The sequence below is a fragment of the Homo sapiens genome, chromosome 6 (assembly GCF_000001405.40).
Source record: "Homo sapiens chromosome 6, GRCh38.p14 Primary Assembly".
Taxonomy (NCBI): domain Eukaryota; kingdom Metazoa; phylum Chordata; class Mammalia; order Primates; family Hominidae; genus Homo; species Homo sapiens.
Window position 1 is genome coordinate 161,470,191 of NC_000006.12, and position 14,643 is coordinate 161,484,833.

Sequence of the window (14,643 nt, forward strand, 5' to 3'; positions counted from 1 at the left end):
TAAAATAATGGTGTACAGTCTATGCCACATAATTTTTGTGTTTGATTATATGCTTTAGTTATATTACTACCTTTGCTGTCATAGGCCCATTAGGGTATTATTTAATGTAGTCACTCATCTAAATCTTCATTCCCCTCTTCAACGGCTCTACCCAGTGCTCATCACTCTTCTGCTGGAGCTGGGAGTGGTGGAAGACCTGAGGTTTTCCTCTAGGTAGAAGGAACTCCCATTATGAACACTCAAGAGTAATTCTCAACGGATCAGAACTTCCTGAGAGCAGGACACTCTGGATTACCTGAGAAGCACTCCCAGTCTAACCCTTTGACCCACTCAAGAGATGTCCTATGTCTTAGAGGGTTCTGCCCTGGCCCTCCTCTGGCCACACCCCTCTTCCTGGAGCAAAGAGTCTGTGGAGCTAAAAAGCTGCACCCACAACAGCACATGCTTGCCCTTCAGACTATGCCCCAGGCACCTGAGCCCCAGAATTCCCTGCCCAAATGGCCTGGGCTTGATTCAGGGCTTGTGTAGGCAGCTTCCTCCCATCTGTCCTTCTGAGAGTGGACTGTTCCAGTGATGTGCCTACCCTGAGCCCGAAGGCTGCCTGAAGGGCTGCCACATGTAGGGGATGTGGATGAATCTGAGATTTGTGGGCTGGGTGTCTGCCTATGTGTGTGCAGAGAACCTTCTAGGCAGGGCAGAGCTAGACAAGAGAAGGGGTCTGGGCTGACTCTCCCAGTTCCACTAAGTTCTGGTAAAGAATTCTGAGGGGTCAGAGAATTCTAAGTTAGAATCTGGCCTCTAAGGTCCTTATGAAGGTGTACTCCTTAAGGTAAGAGGATAGCATGTATTTTATTTAACAGCTTGCTAGTGTGATTTAGAATTTTTAAACATTGAGATGAGGGCCATGTGAACCCACACTTGTCTTCTTATCCCAGGTCCTGCAAATGTTAGGACTGGACTAACCACTCCCTCTCAATAGAGGGAGAGACAGAGAAAGGCCAGGTAATGAATAGAGTGAAAAATGTACATTAGAAAAATGCTCTTTCAAAAAGCCTAGAAAGAAATATAGCCAAACATTAGCAGAGTCTGCAATGTCTGAGTTTTGGGGTTATGGGGATGTTGTTTTATTTCACTTACAGATATACACCTACGTAAGCAGCTTTATAATAAGAAAATATTTGTTTATGAATTCAAACTTATGAATATTCAATAAGTTCCCAGTATAATGTCAGCATTAGACTAGGATGAAAAACCAAACTAAACCAAACCAAATCAAAACAACAAATCTTCAAGACATGAAAAAGAAAGAAATGGAGAAATATGGATTGGGTAATGAAGAATGTATCCTCTTAGGCACTTTCATTAACAACTTGAAAATAGACCTTGACAGAATGATGACCTAATTTCTATATGCTCTTGAATTGGATGGTCTATCGGAAACAGAATCAGGATTCAAAAACATCCCCCCACCGTCTGACATCACTGGGTAATCTAACAAGATTACAGAACCGACTTTTAGAGAAGAGTTTAAATCCCAGTACTAGAATATATGTAACAGCTATATTGGCTGTGGGAGTTATAGCTTAACAGAACATGTGTCATAAAGATAATTAACATACAATAAATGCATCTATGAAAGATTAAATTAATCTAAGGTAACACTAATAGAAAAATACAGCATAAACTGAAGGTGTGGATAGTTTTCTTTTGCTATGTGGTGGCAAGACCTCACCTGGAATCTGTTTAATTTCAATACCAACTTTGGGAGACATTAAAAAAAAATACTGAAGCCTATGAAGAAGAAGTTCTCTCTCATTTGAAAAATTTTTGAAAAACCTAATCTAGTATTTTGACCATGTTAAGAAGGAAGGACACATGCATGTTTGGACCAGGGTGTTTTGTAGAGTTGGTAATCTTCTTCATGGCCTGCTTTAATGACTGAAGGATAAGCCCTTCACAGAAGGACTAAGGCTTCCAAGTACCCCAGGACAACAGAGGGAGGTTGATTTTAGCTAGATATAAAGAAAAACGTTGTAAAAATCAGAACTGTTTGAAAATAGAATGGATGCCTTTAGAAGAGAGCAAGTCTTACTTGCAGAACGTGTTGGGAGTTTAAGGAAACCCAATCCATGACACCTACTATCCCTGTCTCAGCTTGAAAAGAAAAATGGGTCAACTAATTTTTGACAAAGGCACCAAGAAGACACAATGGTATCTGGATAGGATAATATCTTCAATAAATGGTATTGGGAAAACTGGATATCCACATGTAAAATAATGAATTGAACCCTTAGCTTGTATCATACACAAAAATCAACTCAACATAGATGAAAGAACTTAACATAGGACCTGAAATCATAACATTCCTAGTAGAAAACACAGGGAAACCCCATCGCCTTGGCAATAACTTTTTGGATACCACACCAAAGCTCAGGCAACAAAAGTGAAAATAAACAACTGGACTACACCAAACTAAAAAGCTTCTGCACAGCAAAGGAAGCAACGAACAGAATCAAAAGGCAGCTTACAGATTGGAAGAAAATATTTGAAAACCATGTATTTGATAAGTGGTTAATATCCAAAATGTAAAATAAATGCCTACAACTCAATAGCAAAAAACCCCAAATAACCTGATTAAAAAACGGACAAAGAGCCTGAATAGACATTTCTCCAAAAAAGATATAAAAATGGCCAACAGGCATACGAAAAGGTAATCAACATCTCTGACCATCAGGGACAGGCAAATGAAAACCATGAGATAGCAACTTATACCTGTTAGGATGGCCATTATCAAAAAGACATAACAAGCGGTAGCACGGGTTGGAGAAAAGGGAACCCTGACATGCTGTTGGTGGGAATGTAAATTGTTGCAGCCTTTATGGAAAACAGTACGAAGGTTCCTTAAAAAATAAAAAAATAGAACTATAGCACCATATGATCCAGCAATCTCTCTGCTGAGTATATACTCAAAAGAAGTAAAATTAGCACCTCACAGAGCTGCCTTCTTATGTTCACTGTGGCATTATTTACAATAGCAAGATATGCAAACAACCTAAGTAAGCATCAAAGGATGAATGGATAAAGAAATTGTGGAATATATTATATACATATATATTAGGGAGAGGGGAGCATTATATATATAGATACCTATATATCCATAAATTTATTTATATACATATATATATATAAAATGGAATATTATCAAGCCTTAAAAAGGAGATTCTACTATTTTTGGCAACATGTATTAACCTGGAGGACATTATGCTAAGTGAACTGAGCCAGACACAGGAAAAAGTACTGCATGATCTTACTTACATGTGGAATCTTAAAAAAAAAATGTCAAATATATAGAGACAGAATAAAATGGTGGTTACCGGAAGTGGTGGGGGGAATTGTGGCAGAAAATGGGGAGATATGGGTCAAAGCATACAAAGTTACAGGTAGGACAAATATTCTAGAAATGTACTAGAGGACTATAATTATAATATTGTATAATGAAAATTTGCAAAAAAGTAGATTTTAGGTGCTATTACTGTATACGTATGAAAAAAGTAACCATGAAGATGATAAGTATGTTAATTTGCTTGAGTATAGTAACCACTTCACTATGTATAAATATATCAAAATATGTTGTACACCTTAACTATATATAATAGAAAAATAAGTAAATAAGAAAGGAGAGCAGGTGGAGTGGCATTTTTATATACAAGATCGCTAGGATGGAGGGCATGACTTGTGTATGTAGACTAGCGGGTTTTCTAATATCAAATTTTATGCTTGTGGAAATCTATCCACCCAAGCTTAGGCAGAGCCAGACTTCCTCGAAAAACAGAGCAGAATATAAGTTCTCTGCAGAGCATCTGCTACCAAGAAAAAAATGGGCGTGGAGCATGATCAGTTTACTCTTTCCAAACTTACCAGTAAGTCACTCCACCTCTCCTGTGGTGGCATGGATTTGTATTATGGCGCCACTGTTTACTAGTACCATGTACAAGTAAATGGTGCAGTCATGTGAGGAATGAATTGGCTACTCCACGGAAGTGCCCAGCACAGGGCCTGGTGTGTAATGGCTCTTCATAACTCTTACCTTGTTGGCTACCCCATAGTTATTCTCCTTCATCTTGTCTTTCCTGCTCCAACCATAGACCAAGCCTCTTGTTTCCTATAAGATTGAGACTGGTAACAGGAGTCCGTGGAGCTTGTGAACTTGGATGGGAATTAATTATATATTTAATATCACTAATCCCTACCTGAAGTTTGGTGTTTCCTTCAGTTATAAACATAGGTATGAATATCAGTAGTGTTAGTGGTATCTGTGACTTAGTCATAGATGAGAATCACAGATATCTTCGTATGATTTTAGAGCAGCTGTAGACACCTTGAAATACCAACTATGTTCACCATTACTTTTTTTTTTTTTCGGCAATGGAGTCTCGCTCTGTTGCCCAGGCTGGAGTGCAGTGGTGTGATCTCGGCTCACTGCAAGCTCCGCCTCGTGGGTTCACGCCATTCTCCTGCCTCAGCCTCCCGAGTAGCTGGGACTACAGGCACTCGCCATCATGCCTGGCTAACTTTTTTTTGGTTTTAATTTTTAGTAGATACTGGGTTTCACCATGTTGGCCAGGATGGTCTCGATCTCCTGACCTCGTAATCCACCTGCCTCAGACTCCCAAAGTGCTGAGATTACAGGTGTGAGCCACCACGCCCGGCCCACTATTACTTATTTTTATTTTTTGAGATGAAGTCTCTCTGTCACCAGACTGGAGTGCAGTGGCGCAATCTCGGCTCACTGCAACCTCCGCCTCCTGGGTTCAAGTGATTCTCCTGCCTCAGCCTCCCAAGTAGCTGGGACTACAGGCATGCACCACCATGCCCAGCTAATTTTTAGTAGAGACAGGGTTTCACCATGTTGGCCAGGATGGTCTCGATCTCTTGACCTCATGATCTGCCTGCCTCTCAAAGCGCTGGGATTGCAGGCATAAGCCACCATGCCTGACCCACTATTACCTATACTTATAGTAGATTGCATGTGATCGCTGCTGTCCTATCAACTGGTGTGATGGAGCTGCCAACTTGGGGGAATGCAGTCACCTCTTCCCACACTGGTGACCCAGACATTCACGTTGCTTTCCAGTATTCCCATTTGCGATTTGTTTTTGGTCATCACGAGGAAGGAGGGTACTCATTCTCATGCATGGTTTATTGTTCCCAGGTAAACTCAGCAAAAATGTTCTTTGCACTGGTATTTCTTTAAACAATAAAGTTTTACTTTAACTTGCTATATTTTAAATGCACGGTATTGACTTGTTATTTTTATTTACATATATTTTTGAGACGAGGTCTCGCTCTGTGGCCCAGGCTGGAGTGCCGCGGTGCAATACAACTTGCCGCAGTCTTGACCTCCTGGGCTCAAGTGATCCTCCCACCTCAGCCTTTTGGGTAGCTGAGGCATTTTTGTATTTTTTGTAGAGACAGGGTTTTGCCATGTTGCCGAGGCTGGTCTTGAACTCCTGAGCTCAAGGAATCTGCTCGCCTCGGTCTCCCAAAGTGCTGGGATTACAGGCAAGGGCCACTGTTCCTGGCCTGACTTGTTATTTAATTCATTCATAAAGAAACACATATTAAAAACCATGAATTTCTTTTTATTACTCTGATAACTGCATTTTCCTTTCAATCTTATATATTTTATATATTTAAAAATATTATTCAAGATAGGCTGGTCGCGGTGGCTCACGCCTGTAATCCCAGCATTTTGGGAGGCCAAGGTGGGCGGATCACGAGGTCAGGAGATGGAGACCATCCTGGTTAACACGGTGAAAGCCTGTCTCTACTAAAAATACAAAAAAATTAGCCGGGCGTGGTGGCGGGCGCCTGTAGTCCCAGCTACTCAGGAGGCTGAGGCCGGAGAATGGTGTGGACCCGGGAGGCGGAGCTTGCAGTGAGCCGAGATCGCGCCACTGTACTCCAACCTGGGCGACAGAGTGAGACTCTGTCTCAGGAAAAAAAAAAAAATTATTCAAGATAGTGTCCAAACTGTTCATCAAACTGCCAAATGGATCTCTAGTACAAAATGGCTAAAACTCTTTCCCAGGAGTGTGAGAATGTATATCAGGAAAATAATTACATCCTAAAAAAAGCTGCTGCTTCTGATGTGTGGGGAAATCAACATTTAGGGAATTCAACTGTTTTTAGTAACTTCCCCCCGAAGCTTTTGTTTGTGGGATTACTATTTACAACTGTAATTGGGATACATTTTCAAAGAAAACTTGGCTCAAATTTAGAACTCAGACACTTAAGACACTTTTCCTTGAGAAAATCTAAATATTTATGCGTCTCCAACTCACTTTCAAAAACATTTTAAAGCTTAAGATGTTATTGAGAGTTCCCCACTGTTGATGATGGTGATTAAAAAGGCCATTAAAAATGGCTCCCAGGAAAAGAACAGTTGTCAGGAAGTCAGGGCAGCCGGGAGGCAGAAGACCCACCGATTTGTTTCTTTGACACTGGCGGTTTAGTCACACAGTGATCGATTTCTGAGAACACTGGAGATGTGCTGGAATTAGTGTGGAATTTCTACACTCTTTGGCTCTGACTGGGACATTCCGTCATTACAACGAAATGAGACTGTGCTTTGCTGTCTCGCATCCTCTGTGAAGACGTTATCCAGCATGAAAAGGAAGGCAATGGAAACCGAGAGCCAGCATACAGGAGCTGCTAACAGAAAAACTGGTGGGCGAGCTGAGGTGAAATGGCTTGGACACAAACCAGTGCATGCAGTTCTAATGAGGCAGTAAGGCAGGCACGGAAGTGCGCATGATGTCAGCTAATTAACTTGGATGATGTTGGAGAGTGAGGTATCCTGAGGAAAAGCCAACAGCACTTAACTCACCAGTGTGGTTAATTATCAGAGAATGCTGTTCCTGTGTAGTTTCCTACCCAGCATTTTGAAAAGATATTTGGCTTTAAAAGTATTAAAAACATGAAGTGACTCTTCTTGCAGGCGATCAGCAGCTTGTATTGGTGATGGAAAAAAATAATGGGACTTGGCCAGGCGCGGTGGCTCACGCCTGTAATCCCAGCACTTTGGGAGGCCCAGGCGGGCGGATCACCTGAGGTCGGGAGTTCGAGACCAGCCTGACCAACACGGAGAAACCCCGTCTCTACTAAAAATACAAAATTATCCAGGCGTGGTGGCACATGCCTATAATCCCAGCTACTCGGAGGCTGAGGCAGGAGAATCGCTTGAACTCAGGAGGCAGAGGTTGTGGTGAGCCGAGATCACACCATTGCACTCCAGCAACAAGAATGAAACTCCATCTCAAAAAAAAAAAAAAAAAATACTGGTACTTTTCCTTAGGATAAGGTTAATGAATCAAGGTGATGAAGATGGCCTTTCTTAATTCAGTTGCAGCATAGAAGAAAATTAACTTTGTTTGGTGGATAATCATTGGAAGTGTGAAAGGATAAGTTGTTTTCAGAATACTTTTTAGAAATAATTTTTAGTTTTCTGTATCACAAATGGGAAATTAGGAAAATTAAATAGATACATCATGTTATTAGAATGCATAAGCATTACAAATGTAACTATCCTGATAATGGTAGCAAATATATTGAAGACGGCTCATGCAGGCCTTCCTTGCTTCCCAGTATTATCTGGAGGGGAAGATAATCAGCCTGGCAGGATGGAATAGAGAGGGACAAGATGGCGACCAGTCTCCGAAGCAGGAAAGAGCGGCATGAAAAGTGGCTTTAAATCAACAGATTTGTGTAAAGTGCAAATGAACGGTTGTACCTGAGCTGTATCACAGTGAACTAATTTAACAAGGAGCAGTTGCAATGTGTTCCATTTTAGCTATTCTGAGGACAATAAAATGACAATATACACAGGCAGATTAAGGATGTCTCTTTCAAGATTTGGGGCCTGGTTGATTTACTCATAAATCAAATGACAATATGATTTATTGTTCATCTGAACAAATTTGAGAGTGAAAGGGAACATAGTAGCAGCTACTCCTGAACAACGGGCATAAAGCAGCTTGCCTCGGGCAAACTGAGTAGTGTGGCTCCCACCACTTCTCATGCTATAGTTCCACAATTATGTGTCTCTTTTTCACATGTATTATGCCTCTCTTTACAGTATGATTTCCACGGGAATGTGAGATTTACACATTGTAGATGCAGAATTATATTATTGCACTTATTAATAAAATAACACAAGTAGATAGGACATACAGTAAAATAATTACTGTTTACCATCAGTATAGTTACACATGTGATAATTGATCTACAAAATACTTTCCAAAGGATTATTTCATTTAACTCTCAAAATAGCTGTTATGTGGCTTCTTCAAAAAATTCTGAATGATGTGGCCAGCCAGGTGCAGTGGCTCACACCTGTAATCCCACCACTTTGGGAGGCTGAGGTGGGTGGATCATGTGAGTCCAGGGGTTTGAGGCCAGCCTGGGCAACATGGCAAAGCCTTGTCTTTAGAAAAAAATACAATAAATTAGCCTAGCCTGCTGGCGGGTGCTGTAGTCCCAGCTACTCAGGAGGCTGAGGTGGGACGATCACGTGAGCCTCGGAGGTTGAGGCTTCAGTGAGCTCTGATTGTGCCACTGTACTCCCAGCCTGAGTGACAGAGTGAGACTTTGTGGCAAAAACAAAACAAAAATGATGTATCAAATAAACAAGTAAATAAGTTTTATGTGGATATACTAATGCAATGATGCAGCTATAGTCATCATATAAATATGTAATTCATTAAACAAATAATGATATTTCATAAAATGAAATACTATAGAACAATGAAAACAATTTATACATAGAGTGTAACAATTTGGATGAAAGAAAAAAGATATATTTGCTTATAGATGTGCAGAAAATTTCTGGAATAACAACGCTAAGTGGCTGCCTCTAGAACCTGTAACTGAGGCCTGAGGACAGGGAACTAAATCGTTCTGTATGCCGTATGATTGTTGTGTGGTAGGTGATTACTTCGCACAATGATGACATTTGAAAAATAGCATCATTATCACTATATTTAGTACGTACATGCCCATAATAGAGCAGTTCATAAAACACTATCTACGCATTCACATGTATAATAATACTAATAGTTTAAAAAGTTTCAAGTGTGGGTATGTATCCTAAAATGCCTAGAAAGATAAGTAATAATAAGTAGTGAGATTCCTGATCTTACTGGTTTTTGCTTTTTATGTTAACTTTCTACTTTTTCATTTTGCTTGAATGTGTTATAATAATACATTTATATTTTATAATCAGAACGCAAGCAGCAATGCCACTTCCATCTTGAGGAAGTGTAATGAGGGAACCAGCAATGCTGGTTTCAGTGTCTCAGTTTGGCTGGAAAGGATTTAATCCTGACGCTGCAACATTAACTTTCTGAGCATATGCTCTGTCCCCGGGGAAGACGACAGTCAAGGGAATCTTGAACTTCTTGGAAAATAAGAAAATTAAGGGCTTCTTTTAAAAGGTAAGTGATTTTACTTTTGAGCAATTTGGCTTGGCTTTGTTTTAGGAGAAAACTGGAATCTTACAATGTAGCCCTCTGAAGGGTGGCTTGCACAAAGCCGGGGTCACTGGGGCACCCCCTCCCTGTATTGTGACAGTGTGGGGCTGGTCTCCAACTTCCCTAGCCTCTGCTTTCCAGGTGCAAGGTGGAAATGCACTTCCCATCTCCTTTGAAGTTAGACCAGGCCACACGATTTGCTCTAGACAAAGAGTTGTGAGCACCAGTGACAAGTGTCATCCAGGTGAGAGCTTTAAGGGCCAGCACACAATTCCTTGCTCCCTTCCCTCTGGTGCGGGATCATGGAAGCCCAGGTGAAGGTGAGCCTCTGTCAGCCTCGGCCTTGATGAGGAGGGCAGCCTTCAGCCGTGTGCAGGCCATAGCATGAGCGAGAAATGAACTTTTGTTGGGTGAAGCCACTGAGATTTTGGAGTATTTATTATCACTGCAGCGTTTCCTATCTGATCATGACTATATAATTTGTGAAGCCCAGTGCAAAACAAAGACACAGAGCCCCTTCTTCAAAAATGATTTAGCATTTCAAGATATTAGCAGTAGAGCCTCAAACTCTGGGGGGCCCTGTGAGTATGGGGCCCTGTGAGTATGGGGCCCTGTGAGTATGGGGCCCTGTGTGACTGTACAGGTCGCACACTCCAAGCTGGCCCTATTTTCCTATTCCACCATCACAACAATCCTGGAAAAGAATCTTAATTCTCTTATTTCACATATGAGAAAATTGAGAGCTTAAACAGCTTGCTTAAAATAGCAGACTCACAAAATGCCAGAAGCGAGAGTTTGATTCCATTGGTATTAATAACACTGCGATGATGGGTCTTTTGTGCATTCCTGGTTCTGGGCTTTGGGGCACAAGGAGCCAAGTACACTATTACAGGAAGCAGACAAGACTCAGGAAATATCGTCTCCTTTGTAGGAAATCACCTAACTGGAACCTTCAATGGAAGGTAAGAAAGAGTTAACGTCTAACCCATTACATGCTAAGTGAATGTTTTCTCTTGCCAGAAAGTATAATTAGTAATTTCAGGCCTTATCTGAAATACCTGCCTCAGCACATGCTGAAAGTATCAATAAAGAAAAGCAGGCACCGCTTTTAATTTCATTGCTATAACTAATTAGCATTAGAGAAACCATTTTCATAAGCAGTGTGCTAACAACCCATTGGTAACTGGAAAGGAAAGCTGATGGTGCAGCTTTCTCCATGGTAACCGGGCAAGGAGAAAAGCGCTTCACAGCCACGAAGAGGGGGTTCCTGAGGGAAGCACGAGACGCGGGCTCCAGGCAGCAGCACGTGGAAGTGGGCAGGCACTGCCCCTGACTTCAGATGCCACAAAGAACATTGGCATATTCCAGTCAAGGGCAGTGTTTTGAACTGAAAATATTACATGCCACCATAGAACTGTTTTCTACATATTCCTTAAAAGCTATTCAAACCGTATCAAGATTTTTTTAGAAAGGGCTCTACCAATTAAAATCACATTGGTTTTTCCTAAAGAATTCCTATCAACTCTCCCACCCAACATATCCTACCTCTGTACCCAGTACAGGGGGCAGAAGGCATCAGGAAAAGTAATAAAAAGAACCTTTGGCTGGGCGCGTTGGCTCACTCCTGTAATCCCAGAACTTTGGGAGGCAGAGGCAGGCGGATGATGAGGTCAAGAGATTGAGACCATCCTGGCCAACATGGTGAAACCCCATCTCTACTAAAAATACAAAAAATTAGCTGGGCATGGTGGCGTGTGCCTGTAGTCCCAGCTACTCCGGAGGCTGAGGCAGGAGGATTGTTTGAACCTGGGAGGTGGAGGTTGCAGTGAGCTGAGGTCGCACCACTGCACTAGAACCTGGCGACAGAGCAAGACTCCATCTCAAAAAACAAAAAAACAAAACAAACAAACAAAAAAACAAAAACAAACAAGGAAAAAAAGAACCTTTGCCGCACAAAGAGGGTAGGTAGTGAATCTGGTAATTTTAAAAGGCAGCTGTCATTAAATCCTGAGTTTCAAGATGAAATCCTATCACTCTGTTTGAGCACTTTATTATTGTTCTTACTGATTGTGCCCTAGAACACATTAGTGAATTGGCACAATTCCTCTGTCATTTTCTTCTCTTCATATAAACTTAGTTTGGGCAATTTTTCAAAGAAGGAAGGAAGAAAGGAAGTAAAGAAGGAAGGAAGGGAGGGAGGGGGGAAGCCAAAAGAAACAAGGATTGAGTTTGTTGGAGTCACTTTAGAACATTAGTGCCACACTGGTCCATAAATATGTTCATTTTGCGGGGGGTGGGGGAGACTGCAACAACATCATACTGTATCAATGATGAATTCAGCAGTCACTTAAAATGAAAAATGTAGGTGGCTTTCAAAGAAACAATCTCAAGTAAAATTGTTAACAAAATTTATCAATTTTTGAAAACTGTATATTCAAATAGATAACATAAAAACAAGAATAATTTAAAGCATGTTACTCAAGTAGATTTCACAACAAATGATACATTTAAAGTTTTATGGCTCCAATATTAATGCTTTAGGAACTGTGTGGCAAACATTTACTAACCAGGTTCTCATGACCTATTGACTGTGTGAAGAATATTTGTCAGCATGCCAGCGTGCAGTGTTAGGTTCTGTTAGGATCAAAACAATCTCCCTCAGGAAGCTTATATAAAAAGTTGTCCTTGTCCCTACTCTTAGGTCAAGAAAACATTGTCATCAATATGAATATGAAGAGATGCATGAAATAATATGACTAAGTTCTTTAAGGGAGAAAGCCGCCATAGATTAGCTAGTTAGTTTGAGAACTGGCTTTTAAATACATACTTTCTCTACATAATTTGGAATGTTTTAGAAAACAAAATGGGAACAAAGTACAATGCACATTAGCTGGGCAGGGAAGCATGAAGAATGCTTTCTATGTTACGGCTAATTCCCTGCAAGCTAGCCTGACTTTCAGAGCATTCAACTGAGTACGTGGCTGTTCTCCACCATGAGGCCAGCACGTGGTTAATGACCCCAATTCTGGCATTGTTTCTGGGTCTTGTTTTTTTCTGCACAAAGGTTAATTGAATTTTTACAAGGGTTTCCTAGAGGACTTGCACAACTTTTTGGTATTAAAACAAAAGGCCATCTTATAATAGACTTACAATATGACTTTCATAAGCACTTTAAGTATTTTAGCTTAGACTTTAGTAACTGTGGCATATTTAATGTTTCATAGCTTTTTGAGAATTTCCACAGACATTCTCAGCATCTTCACTAAATTTAATCACGAAGTCTGGCAGTACAGAATTCTTCCTTCTCCCTCGGCTTCTTTTTAAGTTTGAGAGTGAATTTGGTTTTGTAAAAGTATGCTAGGGAGAAGATGCAAGGGACTTCTCAGCAATTTCTCTCTATGTGTTCTGCAGATAAATGTTCTTTCCGGCTCGTGACAACTAACAATTGTGTTTCAAAAAAAAAAAAAAAAACATGCATTGTTAATGAGACTTCGCCAGAGATGCTTAGAGTTAGGTGAAATAGAGATAACTATTTTCATAGCTATGCATTAATTGACTGAATTGGCTTTGTATTTCAGGCCAACTCCAAAGCACTGGTTAATAGTTATAAAAATGTTTCACAGTGCTCCATGTCGGCTTCCCCCTGAAAATCCATGATAAAGATTGAGCGTGGTTGAAAGGCTTGTCATGCGTAAGTGCTAATTAGCCCCAGGATGCTTGCCTTCATGAACTTTCAGGCCTCATCTATAAGGTCAGGAAAGGGGTCATAGCTCATAGAATATGGACTTGCATTAATTCCCAGCGTATAAACTCATGGATCCTCCACAGAATTCACTAAACTTCAATAAGCTACAATTCTATCCTTACCTCACATGTCACATCCCTAAAGGTGACATCTACATTAATGCCCCTCATCCCCAATAGAGAGCACATTGGTAGCTCAAATAGGCTATTACTCACTGTGACCTCTTCTACTTATTTCTTAAGGCATGGGAGTGGCATAGTGAGATCCTGGCAGGAGCACTGTTCACAATAGCAAAGACTTGGAATCAACCCAGATGCCCATCATTGATAGACTGGATAAAGAAAATGTGGTCCATATATATCATGGAATACTATGCAACCATAAAAAGGAACAAGACCATATCCTTTGCAGGGACATGGATGAAGCTGGAAACCGTTATCCTCAGCAAACTAATGCAGGAACAGAAAACCAAACACTGCCTGTTCTCACTTATAAGTGGGAGCTGAATGATGAGCACACATGGACACATGGGGGAACAACACACACTGGGGCCTGCTGGGGGGTTGTGGGGAGGGAGAGCATCAGGAAGAATACCTAATGGATGCTGGGCTTAATACCTAGGTGATGGGTTGATCTGTGCAGCAAAACACCATGGCACACGTTTACCTATATAACAAACCTGCACATCCTGCACATGTACCCCTGAACTTAAAATGAAAAGTTGAAGAAAATTTTAAAAAAAGACCCTGCCTGGCAGGGTTTCAGCTTAAAGAAAATTTCTGGGTTTTGCACATGGCCATTTTCTGAACTCCTATAACTGGCTTTTGAACCAAAGTCCTCTTGGAATGCTGAGACGCACTGGAAACCTCTAGATGGGCCATCCAGCCTGAAGAAAGCCTTTCTTGTTGCTGCTATTTGTATCATTATTTCCTTTACTAACAATAACTAAGATGCACTGGGTACGTTACGTGTTAGGGAGCGTCCCAAGTGCTTAGTAAGCATCGATTAGTTTCATTTTTACAACCATCTTTGCCCTGTGAAATAGGACATGGGATTCACTCTTTTTAAAGATGAGACAGTTGACACTTGGGAAGCTTAGGAAGGTTTCCCAAAGCAAGCTGTGGGTACGGACGGCATCAGAACTAAACGCAGGGAGTCTGACTCAGGGTGTTCAATCTCAGCACTACTGAAGTTTGAGACCAGGCCATTCTCACGGGCCCGTTGTGGGCACTGCATGGTGTTTGGCACCATCCCTGCCTCTACCCGCTAGATGCTAGAAGCATCCCCCTGTTGTGATGACCAAAACTATCTCCAGACATGACCAAATATCCCCTGGGGACAAAATCGCTGGCAACTGAGCACCACTGC

The 14,643-nt window shown here is 41.1% G+C and overlaps 1 protein-coding gene and 1 long non-coding RNA gene across 9 annotated transcripts in view; one reads left to right on the plus strand and one right to left on the minus strand.

The window, feature by feature from the left end:
* The window catches only part of PRKN (parkin RBR E3 ubiquitin protein ligase), a 1,380,350-nt gene that overhangs the window by 122,774 nt on the left and 1,242,933 nt on the right, over nt 1-14,643 (minus strand). The window lies entirely within an intron of this gene.
* On the plus strand, nt 787-13,855 carry LOC105378098 (uncharacterized). Of its 3 annotated transcripts, none has more exons than NR_134595.1 (4): nt 787-829; nt 9,284-9,494; nt 9,672-9,774; nt 13,518-13,855. It is a non-coding gene; the product is annotated as an uncharacterized LOC105378098 (long non-coding RNA). The 3 variants fall into 3 exon arrangements; NR_134593.1 differs by lacking the exon at nt 9,672-9,774 and adding an exon at nt 13,109-13,221; NR_134594.1 differs by lacking the exon at nt 9,672-9,774.